General features: G+C 34.4%; 1 protein-coding gene across 2 annotated transcripts in view; it reads left to right on the top strand.

The window, feature by feature from the left end:
- The window catches only part of EYS (eyes shut homolog), a 1,987,247-nt gene that overhangs the window by 1,088,954 nt on the left and 885,483 nt on the right, over nt 1-12,810 (top strand). For both annotated transcript variants that reach the window (NM_001142800.2, NM_001292009.2), the window contains exon 24: nt 740-855. In NM_001142800.2, coding sequence (NP_001136272.1) covers nt 740-855 — 116 coding nt within the window. The remainder of the gene's footprint in view (nt 1-739; nt 856-12,810) is intronic.

Genomic DNA, 12,810 nt, shown 5'->3' with positions numbered 1-12,810 from the left:
CTAATATCTACCCAGTAAAGCATAGCTGAGATATTAGCTTATGGAATACTTAGCAATGTTGGTTGATAGGTTGATGATGGAAATAATAAAATGTTTGACTAGCAAAAGCCAAACAAAATACATACAATCAAACTGTGTTTTGGTCTGGAAAATTTTAGATTGTCATGTTTAATGAGAATTCTTACAGCCAATGGCCAAATGTACGTAGACACAATACTTATATTCTATAGAATCACAGTATAACAAATACTAAATGTAAAATACTAACTGTAATACTACAAGTATCACAAATAACATTGTATATCTAGAGATCTATAGTAGGTGCTTTCCTCTGAATTTAAGATTCATATTAAGGGAATTATTAAGTGTCTTTATTCTATTGCTTTCCATGTATTTATTCCAAAGTAAAATAAGTAAAGACATTTGAATATGTAATGTTAAATGGCACCACGGATAAGAGCTGAGACATATCATACATGTACTCACTTTCATTTATACTTAACTAGGTGATTTTAGAGCAAATTATTTATTTTCTCTGAGTTTAATTTTCTCTTGAACTAAATAGAGATAGAATAAGAGCTACCTGATAAACTGATCATGAAGATACACTGAGGTAATTTGTACAAAACATCTAGCATAATTATTTCAAATAGTAAAAGCCAATAAATATAGGCTATTAGCATAACTGTTTTTATTATCATTAAAAATTGCATATCTGCTTTGTAATTTTGTTGAACAGGATGGTCTGGACACCACTGTGAGAATGAGCTTGAGTGCATTCCCAACTCATGTGTTCATGAACTCTGCATGGAGAATGAACCTGGCTCGACATGTTTATGCACACCTGGATTTATGGTAAAGATTACTGGTGGTTGTGGTTGTAATAATTTTTTATTCTCTTTGATACACAGTAAATAGTAGAAAATTATATGGTGAAAAATAAGGTCGGAGTAGTTAATCTTCAGCGCATCTCTCCTTCTCTGTGCACGCTACACTTTTCTCGGCATTCCTCTTTCCCTTGTTGTCCGTGCATCACTTGCACCCTCAGTCCTTTCTTTCAGAAGAAAAACATTCTGATAAACTGATCCACACCAAGGTGCAAGTGACTTAATGTATTGGCCTTTAATGTCTTAATGCATTTGGAAGGAGGATGCCAGTGGAGGAATTACTTAATACCGTCAGGGTCTTGGCGGAACTTTTATTTTGCCCAAGGACATAGTACTACTTCCAGGGTTGGGCTCAGCATATTGTATGTCCGAGGAGGACGGATCTGCTTCCTCAGCAAGTTTGAACTGGCCTGAACTCCATTAGCACTAGAAATGACTTTCCTTGGTAAAAATGTCTCTATTAAAAAATAGCATTTGACCACAGTCTTTTATTAAAACTGACCGCAGCCCATGAATATAGTGAAAAAACAGCAATTGGTAAGAATGTGTTATCAGAAATTTTAAATGTATATTTATAAATATCATTATTAGACCAGCCTTCACTGAAATTAAGGCTAAATAATTAGAGATGGGGTATAGTCAGGTGACTAGAGTCAGTGCCAGAATAAAGAATCATACTTCAAGCATCTGGCCAGTGTGTATAAAAGATGAACAAGTGTGAAGGGAAGTGTAAATGGAGCTAGAAACTCCTTCTCAGAAGTGAAAGATCAGAAAGGAAAAACCAGAACCAAGAGTCTCTAGACGAGGTTAAGGAATTACATAGAAAAAAATAATCAATAACTGTCACGGAACACAAGATTTTGAAAAATCAATTGTAGAAGGACCTGGGCTTAAGTCCAATGCTGTTCCCTCTTAAAGGATATTCCCAGGGCTCATCTGTTTTGGAGGGATATGAATGAGCTCAAACAGATATCTTCCTTTCTCTGAGAATTCTCTAATTTTGGATTTGCCCTAGGAAAAAGATTTTCTCTTACTGCTACAAAAGCGATAGATCTTTGGAGAAAAATATCAGATGCTCTGATACTTAAATTGGAAGTTAGTTGGTACCAAGAAGTTATTTTTCTGACACCTCAGATTATACCAATAATGTCTTCCTCGAAGAGTCAGTATAAAGAGCAAAATACTGAGATGTGTCTTTTATTTAACTATGTCTTCTGCCAGTGCAGCCTTAGATACGTAGGAATCTAAATAACTTAGAAAATCAATGCTTATTTTACATATGATATGTTTTCATAAAAACAAATAATTTACTACCAAATATCTATAAAATTTCCTGAAATAGTTAATCTCCTGGTATATGTTCTTTCACATGTGAAATATGAATCTATTAATATTTGAGCTCTTTCTTTAATAAAAAAATCAAATCTGAAGGATAAATACATTAGTATATGTTAGAAATAGAAACATCTTGGAAAATATAGTTTTATAAGACCACATGTCTACTAAATAGAAGAAAATGTTATAGACATAATGCATTTACATTTTAGTAAGGCATTTACTAAATTAATTTCAAATGGATAGTTTTGCAACCATTCTCTAAGTACTTGAAAGCTGAAACAAAATTTAAAAACTTGTCATAGCAAGAGATAATGTTTGTGTGAAATGCTACAATGAGATAAGGGAGATTCAACTTTTGCTAATGCATTAGTTATTCTTTAAAATGAGTAGCTAAAGATAGGGGAAATTCAGTTTATTGAAAAAGAATTTTAACATTGAAATGTTATTCATGCCAATGCTATAGCAGTATGTATTTACTCTAAATTAGATATTCCTAAGAAATATACTTTTGAAAATAACACGCAAATTATTAATTGGAACAGAAAATAAAATAATCTGCTGAATTATCAGAAAATCAAATATTCAAAATATTTGATAAAATATTTGTAGCACGTTAAATTTGTAAATATTGAAATAAAATATTGAAATGGATACAGGTATGGAAAATGCATAAAAACATTAGAAAATCACTTTTTAGGTTTATTTTTCCCTCCCCCACTAATCTTTAGTGCAAATGGGATATTAAAAGAATAAAAATCACAACCATGGGGAAATGTGAAACTTCATGGGTACTTCATTCACAGGAAGATATCAAACTTGAGAGAGTCTTAAGAATAAAGCAGTTATAAGAATTAGAAAAAAGGTAAATTGATTTGCATTAGTACTAAAAATGAAGTGTGTACATAGAGTGTAGGTGAACATGAAAACAGTGTCCATAATGGAGAGTTGACAATGTACAGGGGGTAAGTCATGGCATTCTAGCACTAGAATAGATGGGAAGAGACTAAACATTGCATCAGTTATCACATTCTGTTGGAACGTTTGCTCATTTCTCTGTCAACTCTGAAACACTGTAAACTCCTGAAGGACGAAGACAACACTGGACGTTGCAGTATTCCTAAGAGCACAGAGCACAGTATAGGCGGTCACTAATTTACAATTATTCGATTTTATGATTGTACGAGAGTGACATACGTTCAGTAGAAATGGTATTTTGAACATCCCTACAACCCTTCTGCTTTTTACTTTTAGCACAGCATTCAATAAGTTACATGATCTATTCAACGCTGTAATATAAAATGGGTGTGGGGTTGAATGATTTTGCCCAAGCTGTTGGCTAATGTAAGTGTACTGGACAAATTTAAGGTAGGCTAGGCCAAACTATGATGTTCAGTAGATTAGGTGTATTAAATGCATTTTCCACTTACAATATTTTCAACTTTTGATGGGTTTATCGTAATGTAACCCCATCATAAGTCGAGGAGCATCTGTATACGTGTTTTCATTTTGGTCATCATTGTTAAGGTTGTTTTATTACTGCTCATAGCATATTAGTCACAGTTGTTTTAAATTCCCAGTCTGATAATTACAGACTCCCTGTCATACCTGAGTCTGACTTCAATGCTTACTCTGTCTCTTCTATTTTTTTGGCTTTTAGTGTGTCTTGTAATTTTATATTTAAACACATGATGCATTGCGTAAAAGGAACTCAGATAAATAGGCCTGTAGCATAACATTTTATGTTTATCTGGCTAGGAGTCAGGCTGTGTTTGCTATGCTACAGCCATAGGTGTCAGAGGTCAAAATTTCGTCTTATATTTTTATTTTCATCTTGCCTGTTGTATTTTGGTTTCATTAGAAAATTCTTCTTAAAGAAGTGTGAGGTGTGGAGTTCTTTCAGTTGTAATCTCCTGTTGTTATAAAAGATCCCTGTTGATATGGCAGTAAGGTGTAGGGAGAGGGTAAGCCTTTAACAGTCCTATAATTAGGTCTCAGTCTTGGTGATTCTGTGCCTCTGGTCTGTGACCTTCGAATGTGCTTCTCTGTACCCCATTCCCTTAGGTGAGACAGAAAATCTACACAGGGCTGGAGTTGGGTATTTCCCTTCCTGCAGGTCAACTAAGCTCTGGTAAAATAGTTTCACTTGAGGACAAGCCTTGTTAAGAGGAACAGAATGCTCTGGGAGTCTTCAAAATGGCTATTCTCTCCTCTCCATGCTGGAAGCATGAGGGGATTTTTCTCCAAACCTCACTGTGAGAACCCTGTAGCATTTTTGAACATAAAGTTCATTACAGTGTGGGATATTCCCTAAGAGTGGGCTCCCCTGTAGTTTCTAACTAACTCTCAAGCTCGTACACACTGAGCCTCCAGCATTTCATCAATTACAGTTTGTTTTTCTACCCTGGTTTTGGCTCCAGCAGAGGTTTCTGCTTCTGAATTTCTGCTCTGGTAAGCTATAATTCTTTGTACCTGCCTGACTGTCTCTCCAATGTTTGGGGGCAGAAGTTTTCCTTTAGTGGGAAATGATCTCAATTTTCTTAAAAATCTAAGAAGAGTTGATTTTTAGTTTGTTCAGCTTTTCTCTTATTGTGTAGATGGGAATGATGACTTCCAAATTCTCTACACACCAGACCAAAACCCAGAATTTTGTGATTGTTTTAGAATGAAAGGACCTATGAATATATTTATTAAGAAAACATGAATGGATTTTCTTTCATTCATGTAATTCAATGTGTCTTTTAAAAAAAGGATTTTGTTGTTCTAATTAGGCTTCTCAGGTATCTCAACTTGAATGGTTGTCTTGTTTTTCAGAGTTACTAGAAGGCTTTATGGGATTGTTCAAAAGTCATTAATTTGGCAATCAGATTCTCCATTAACATGTAAAAAATTAAAAATTAAAAATTGTCTTGCATGTGTACTCTAACTACACCAGCTGATACAGTAGCACATGCAATCTGTGTAAAGAACATTCAAATAATTCAAATAATTGAAATATGTTTGTATTGAATTTTTAATTGAACATGAAACAACAAAGCACAATTCAAAGCAATAAGGCTTTTACCTAACAATTTGTAGCAATTCTCTTCACATTAAATCCTTTTATGTTCACCTGAACTTCCCTCTAATATCTTTCTTCTCAGAGATCTTCAGAAAAATGGCACTTTTTTCCCAGATTCCTTTTATTTAAGCTACTTTAAAAGTTTCACTAATTAGGTCATCATATAAAAATGTTAATTCAGCTACATATTTACAGGATTAGATAGGATTAATATTACTACAGTTATTCTTGTTTAATGATGAAGAGTGATGTGGGAGGTAAATAGTCCCTGCTGGGTAGGGAGATGGGAAGCTGTTTTTTTCTTTATTTCTGAGAATTAATTTTTTGAAGATAACATTAAAAGTCTGAACTCTCAGGTTTTTCTTAATGTTTAGAGCTATGACAATCTCTGACAAGCTGATAATTAGTGAATATTATTTGTTTAAGCAGATCCAATTACAAAAGTGATTCCAAACAAGATTAAAGTACTTACATCATTTTGAAATTCAAATGTTCTGTAAAAGAATTTAAATGACAGAATACAATTTTTGAATGTCCTAAACTTGCTTAAGAATTCAAGAAAAATGATCATTCTCTTTTTCATTTGATCAGAACTGCTCATTTCTTCCTCAGTAAATGAAATTCTGCCAAACAAGATTGATCTCCATGCATTAACCGATGAGTGTCTATTGGTCAGGCTTATTGTGTTTTGTAAATGATAGAGTCGATGAAAGTGTTAATTACAGCCCTTAAATTAAAACACAGATGTTTATATAGTGTGGAAGCTGTATTTGTATTAAAATGAAGAAAAAATGGAGAAACTATTTTCTGAGAAAAAAGGGTTCTGAGTTCTACAGAAGGACAGCCTATTTGTGGTGTTCAGTTTTTAAATGTCATCTTCAAAATAAACCTAACACAGAAGACACCAGTATAGCAAGACAGACAAACATTTTGATGTATGTCTATGTTTCTGGTCTTTATTTTCTCATGTGATAAAGTCATCAATATTATTAATAAATATTTACCAAGTGTTTTCTGTGTTTGAGATGACTTGTTCTATTAAAAAATATTTATTATCTCCTAATAGGAAATAAAGCAAAGATGCCATTTTAGACAAACTCGTAATGCTCTTTTAAGTAGATATTTTTGTGGTTTTGACATTTATCCTTATTTGAATTCAAGTAATTTGTATTTTAGATCAGTCAAAACACATCTTTTGGATACTCACTAAAACAATGTATTTGGAAAACTTATAAAGAAATACATATACACTAGTCTTACATTCAAATTAAGGAAAAGAGTACAGGCTCACATCCTCTTGCAATGCACTAAAAAAATCAATAATGCTCTTATTCGGGTGAAATTTGATAGTTTTCTCTAATATATGTTGAGCACCATTTTTTGCAGATCCTTAAAATAATATAAAAATCAATTAGTTTCAGTTTGTTATCCAAAGAGAACATTCAGCTGTATGGAAGAGACAAATAATGTGTGGGATAATAAGGAAGTCAGCATTGGGTACAAAATGAAGAAAACTGTATGATGAGGGAAATAAAAGCATTAGCTAGGACGCTTATTTGGTAGTAATATTAAAAAATAATAAAGCAATTGGCGAACTCTGAGTAAAGTAGTCGTTAGGAAAGATTTCTCAATGGACAAAAGATAATGGCTTCCTCCTAAGGATTAGAAAGGTATCTCTAAAAGCGCTGAAACTTAATCTGCACCACATAGTGGAAGTCCACCCTGAGGGTTTGCTCAGTACTGCTAATGAGAATGCTAAATATAAAATAGCCATAAGAAATAAGGCTCGATCTGCTTCTCAGGACAAGTTTTACCACAAACAACAAAAAAAACACAAAAAATGTATTTTCCTCTCCCCAGATCAATTAGGCTCTGGTAACAGAGAGCCAAGATCCTAGCTTTTATGAAATCTACCACCTAAAAAGCAGAGGATGCATGGGGGAAGAAACAAAATTATTGTGTTTATTTATTTGTTAATTTGTTTATGGGCAGCAATGAGTGCTATGGGGGGGAAAAAGATGGAGGGATGTGTGTTCTGAGCATTTCTAAGCAACACAGTGACAGTATTTTGTAATGCAAGATATGTGAGGGTTTTGGGGGAGGAGATGGTGCAAACTAGAATAAAGACATAAATATTAATGAAAAGAGGAAGTTTTCTGTATTAAATAAGTATAATGTATAATGAAAAATGTAGTTTAATATTTTCAGAAGTAGAATATTTAAAATAAGTTGCCTTACATTTTATTATGGCACAGCTGTGATGTACAATCTAAATGTCTTACAACTTGCTTGTTGCAGTGGCTCATGCCTGTAACCCCAGCACTTTGGGGAGCCAAGGCTGGTGGATCACTTGAGGTCAGAAGTTTGAGATCAGCCTGGCCAACATGGTGAAACCCCGTTTCTACTAAAAATACAAAAATTAGCCAGGCTTGGTAGTGGCTGTCAGTAATCCCAACTACTGGAGAGGCCAATGCACAAGGATCGCTTGAACCGGGGATTTGGAGCTGGCAGTGAGCCGAGATCTTGCCACTGCACTCCAGCCTGGGCGACAGAGTGAGACTCAAAAAAAAAAAAAAAAAAAAAAATTCTTACAACAGCAGTTTTTATTGGTAAATGGAGTATGGTAAAATAATGACCACCTCATAGACCTATGTAGATATTAAAGATAATGAATGCCCACCTTTCATCTTTATGCATCAGATTTTTGCTTAATGTGGCTGGTGGAAGAATGTATTTGGTAGAAACCTAGAATATATTTAATGTCATATATTGACTCAAAAAAGTAATGGCTTAACATTTTAGACTTCAATTAGATGGAAAATTCTCTGAGCCTGTTTCTTCACTTACAGCATGAACATGTGGATGAATTAAAAGCTTGGCTATATTGAAGATAACATTGTTAACCCATTGGAGAGTTGGGCACAGAATTTTAAATGCCCATACTTACAGAATGGTAGATCAGTGTTCTTTCCTCTATGCCATAAATGTTATCCATTTATTTTTAAGATAGATAACTAAATGCAATATCCATTTATTTTTAAGATAAATAACTATATTATTGTCTATATATAGTTAATATATTATATAACTAAATATATATATTTAGACAAGCTCTTTCTCTGCTGCCCAGGCTGGAGGGCAGTGACATGATGATAGCTCACTGCAGCGTCAAACTTCTGGGCTCAGATGGTTCTCCTGCCTCAACCTACCAAGTAGCTGGAAGTACAGACATGTGTTCCCACAACCAGCTAACTTTTTATAATATTTTTTGTAGAGATGAGGTCTCACTATGTTGCCAGGCTTGTCTGGAACTCCTGGCCTCAAGCACCCGTCCTGCTTCAGCCTCCCAAAATGCTGGGATTATAGGCATGAGCCACAATGTCTGTACAAAGATATTATTAAGCTACTCTCTAAAATAAAAACAGATTGGATTCCAAAATCCATTCCGAAGTCCTACAACTTTGCCGTAGTCTACAAGGCTGTGTGCAGTTTGACCCCTTCCTGATAACTTCTCTAGCCTCACTTCCTCCTGATCTTCTAACCCTGTACTGTAGCCCCCTATTTAGCCTTCAGTTGCTCAAATATTCCCTTCAAAATTCTGGCTGTGTGTCTTTGCACATGCTACACTTTAACTAGAATGATCTCCAATCCTTCCTGCCCACTATCCCAATTCTACTCATCTTTCAGGTTTTAGCATATGTCCCTCTTTTTCAGGTAAACCTCATAATACTGCCACAACATGTGCTTAGGTAACTCTTTTTTTCTTAAACTATTTTCTGGAAGAGCTTTAGGTACACAGAAAAAGTGAGCAGAAAATACAGAGAGTTCTCATATACCCATCCCTACACACATGCACAGGCTCCCTCACTATCAACATCCCATGACAGAGTGGTACATTTGTTACAATCAATAAATCTATATTACATCATTATCACCCAAAGTCTGTAGTTCACATTAGAGTTCACTCTTGGTCTTGTACATTCTTTGGGTCTGAACAAATGCATAATGACATGTAACCACCATTATAGATACAGAATAGTAACAATGCCCTAAAAATCCTCTGTGATCCTCCTGTGAATTCCTCTGTCCCCTCCATCTCTGGCAATCATTGATCTTTTCAGGGTCTTCATAGTTTTGCATTTGTAAGGATGCCATATAGTTGAAGTAATACAGTATATAGCCCTTTTAGATTGGCTTCTTTCACTTAATAATGGGGATTTAATATCCTTCCAGGATTTTTTCATGGCATGAGAGCCCCTGTCAGGGCTGAATAATGTTCCATTGTCCAGATGTACCATGGTTTATCCGTTCAACCTACTAAAGTTTTTCTTGATTGTTTTCAAGTTTTGGCAATCATGAATAAGGCTGTTATCAATATTCTTGTGGAGTTTTTTGTGTGAACATGTTTTCAATTCGTTTGCTATACATCGAGGCACACACTCACTGGATTATACAGTAACAGTATGTTTACTTAGAAACTGCCCAACTGTTTTCTAAAATATTTGTACCATTTTGCATTCGCACAAGAAATTAGGCAGCATTTTATAATTTGTCTTCATAGCAATTACTAAAATTGTAATTCATCAATTATTTTTGTGGCTATATATTTATTATTTGACCAACTACTCTCACCTCCCTTCCTCTTCTTCTCTATTCCCTTCTCCCTCTCTGGTCTGCTTTTCTCCTCTTCAATAAGTTCCATAAAACAGGAACTGTGCACATATTACCTACTTCTGTTCTCCAGGCAGATACAACATAGTAGATTCTAAATAAAATTTTGTTGATTATTATACATGAACGAAAACATGAATGGATTACAATTATTGTGGTGTTAATCACAACTAAGCACAAGAATTTTGTGGAACAGTCTGTTGAATGCAATATCATACACTGCTAAAGATATAATGCATTGTTTTCTACAATAATATTTAGAGTGATTTAAAATATCACTTGAGCCATAAGCTTCCATTAAAACGTTATTATTTATGAAGGAAGCCTAACTATTTGCCAGGCTAAATGTCTTGGATACTTTACCCTATTGAATGATTAAAACAATTTTGTGATGTAAGAATCATTATTTATTCCTATGGTGATGATGAGGAAACAGGCTCAGAGATGTTGGTCGCTTATTCATAGATAGCAAATGTTAGAATGTAGTTTGTCCAGTGAATACAAACCCTATATCCATGAGCACTACGTCAGAAAGTTTTCACTCTGCAACCAAAATACAGTTCTAGATCTTTTCACTCTGAGCCATACTCAGATTTCTTTTGGTGAGCACAGAATACATTAACTTATATAAAGATTAGCTTATCTATTCTGTTATGGCCTGAGTGTTTGTATCTCCCTCACCCAAATCCAAATGTTGAAGTTCTAACCCCTAAGACTATGGTATTAGAATGTAGGGCTTTTGGGAGGTGATTCAGTCATGAGGGTGAAGTACTCATGATTGGGATGAGTGCTCTTATAAAAAAGCTGCAGATAACTAGATAGTCCCTTCCAGCCTATGAGGACATAGTTAGAAGGCACCATCTGTGAGAAAGCCGACACTAAACATCCCTCAACTTGTACTTCCCAGCCTCCTGATCTATGAGAAATAAATTTCTGTTATTTATAAGTCAACCAGTTTATGGTATCTTTTTTTGCAGTAGCCTGAACAGACTAAGACTTAGTGCCTTCAATTTTTTCTTTTTTTTTTTTAACCAAAACTTCTTTTCTTCACATGGTTCTTACATGATAACAAATGGAACTGTGCATTTTACACCTGCTAGCTTATTCTAGAAATAATTAAATTCTGGCAAGGCAGTGGGAGAAAATATAACTTGCATCTATTGCGTTTTTTATGATAAAAACCAATCTCTGTTTCTCTGCTTTTTCTGGCATTGCCACTGAGAAACGGCAGGGTTTTATACTTCTCTTTTGGCTTAGGAGTCTTTTTTTTTATTCATACAGAAACCACCTGCTTTAAGCTTTTCCCCCCTTAATTAAAAATAAATGAAACTAAGAAAAGAGTTAATGCGTAGGAAGGAAGACCTGTTGGTTGTTGCTCTCCATGCAGCTCAGGGATACTGACGTACAACACAGCATATCTTGCTTGCTGCTTTTGATATATTTTGGATGTTAGATGGTGTCCTTGTATGATAGTGTTTGATTTGGTTTTGCCTTACTTTCTGTAACTGTTTTCATGTCATTTGCACTTGAATTCCCAAGTAAGGAGAAGGCTGTGTGCACATTCCCAGAGTTTGAAGACTAGCTTCAAAGACTTTCTGACTATAAGGCTGACTCACTTCAATCTGAAAGGAGAAAGAAAATATGTATTGCCACAGTATGTTGTAGAAAATGAGAGAGGCTTGAAAGTGTTCAGAAGACATTGTTCTTAATGTTCTAAAATGAAGATGCCAACTTAATGTTTCTAATGATAAATTAGTTAAAGATAAGTATAAAATGATCAGTGTATTCATTGGTGTGTGACAACTGTGGCTGTTTGGGTTGGTATAGAATAATACTCCAAGGGAGAAATGGGTAAACAAATGATAATATATTAACTAATATGTGTTGATAGAGGTATAAAAACAAGATGCTATGGATGGCAAAATAAAGGTATGCAGTCCAAATTTGTTTGCTCAGATTGGCTCAAGTAATAGTCTATATAGGAGGTCAAGTGTAGCAAGTCTTCTTGAATACAAGGAGACATTGTTCTAGGGAGAACAGGTAGGAAAGCTTGCAAGTTACTTTCAAGGAGTGTGAATGGAAAGATGTGAGGTTATGTTATTTTTTAATATATCCTTTATGACACATATTTTAGCACTTAATATGTGTATATTGTTGAACTTAGATTCTAACAACTATTTAAGATTTTTTTTATCCTAAGAAACTCAGATTCGTAGAGAAGAGATACAACATGCAAAACAACAATTATAACACAGAAAAGAAATGGGTAAGCAGCATAAAATGTAAACACATAACATTATACAGATTCAGAGAATGAGGACATTATTTCCAATGGAGGAACGTAAGATGTTTCATGAAATAAATGTCTTTTCTTATGAGCAGTCAGTTGAACATTCTGTGACTTAAGAAAAGCTTCCCTAAATGTTATAGATATTTGGTGGTAAGAAAAAGAAAGTTTTAAATTTCTACTTGCCAGTTCTCAAAAATCAGTTGAGTATTGGGATCCTCACATCGATGACCCACGAATTTACCTATAGTGTCTGCTAATTCCATGTATTCTTACCAAAATAGTAGGAAAGATCAAACAATTTGACTTCTGAAATGTTTCATGGCTCTTTTACTTGTACATACTCAGGGTTCTGTATCAGATATCAGTTTCTAGGACTGGTGAGTCATAAACAGTGGTCTCAGGGAAATCTTTAAGGTATTTGATTTCAATTAGGTGAGAATTTAGAAAAAAAAAATTCAGAGGATGCTATTGACAGTAGGACCACAGAGTTTTAGTTATGTTATATATAACTATATATATTAGTCACACTGATAATTTGCACCTGTAGTAATTATGCGTTATTAAAT

This window comes from Homo sapiens, chromosome 6, assembly GCF_000001405.40.
Source record: "Homo sapiens chromosome 6, GRCh38.p14 Primary Assembly".
Lineage (NCBI taxonomy): Eukaryota > Metazoa > Chordata > Mammalia > Primates > Hominidae > Homo > Homo sapiens.
The sequence above is the reverse complement of the archived record's forward strand: the minus strand, read 5'-3'. Positions and strand labels throughout refer to the sequence as shown.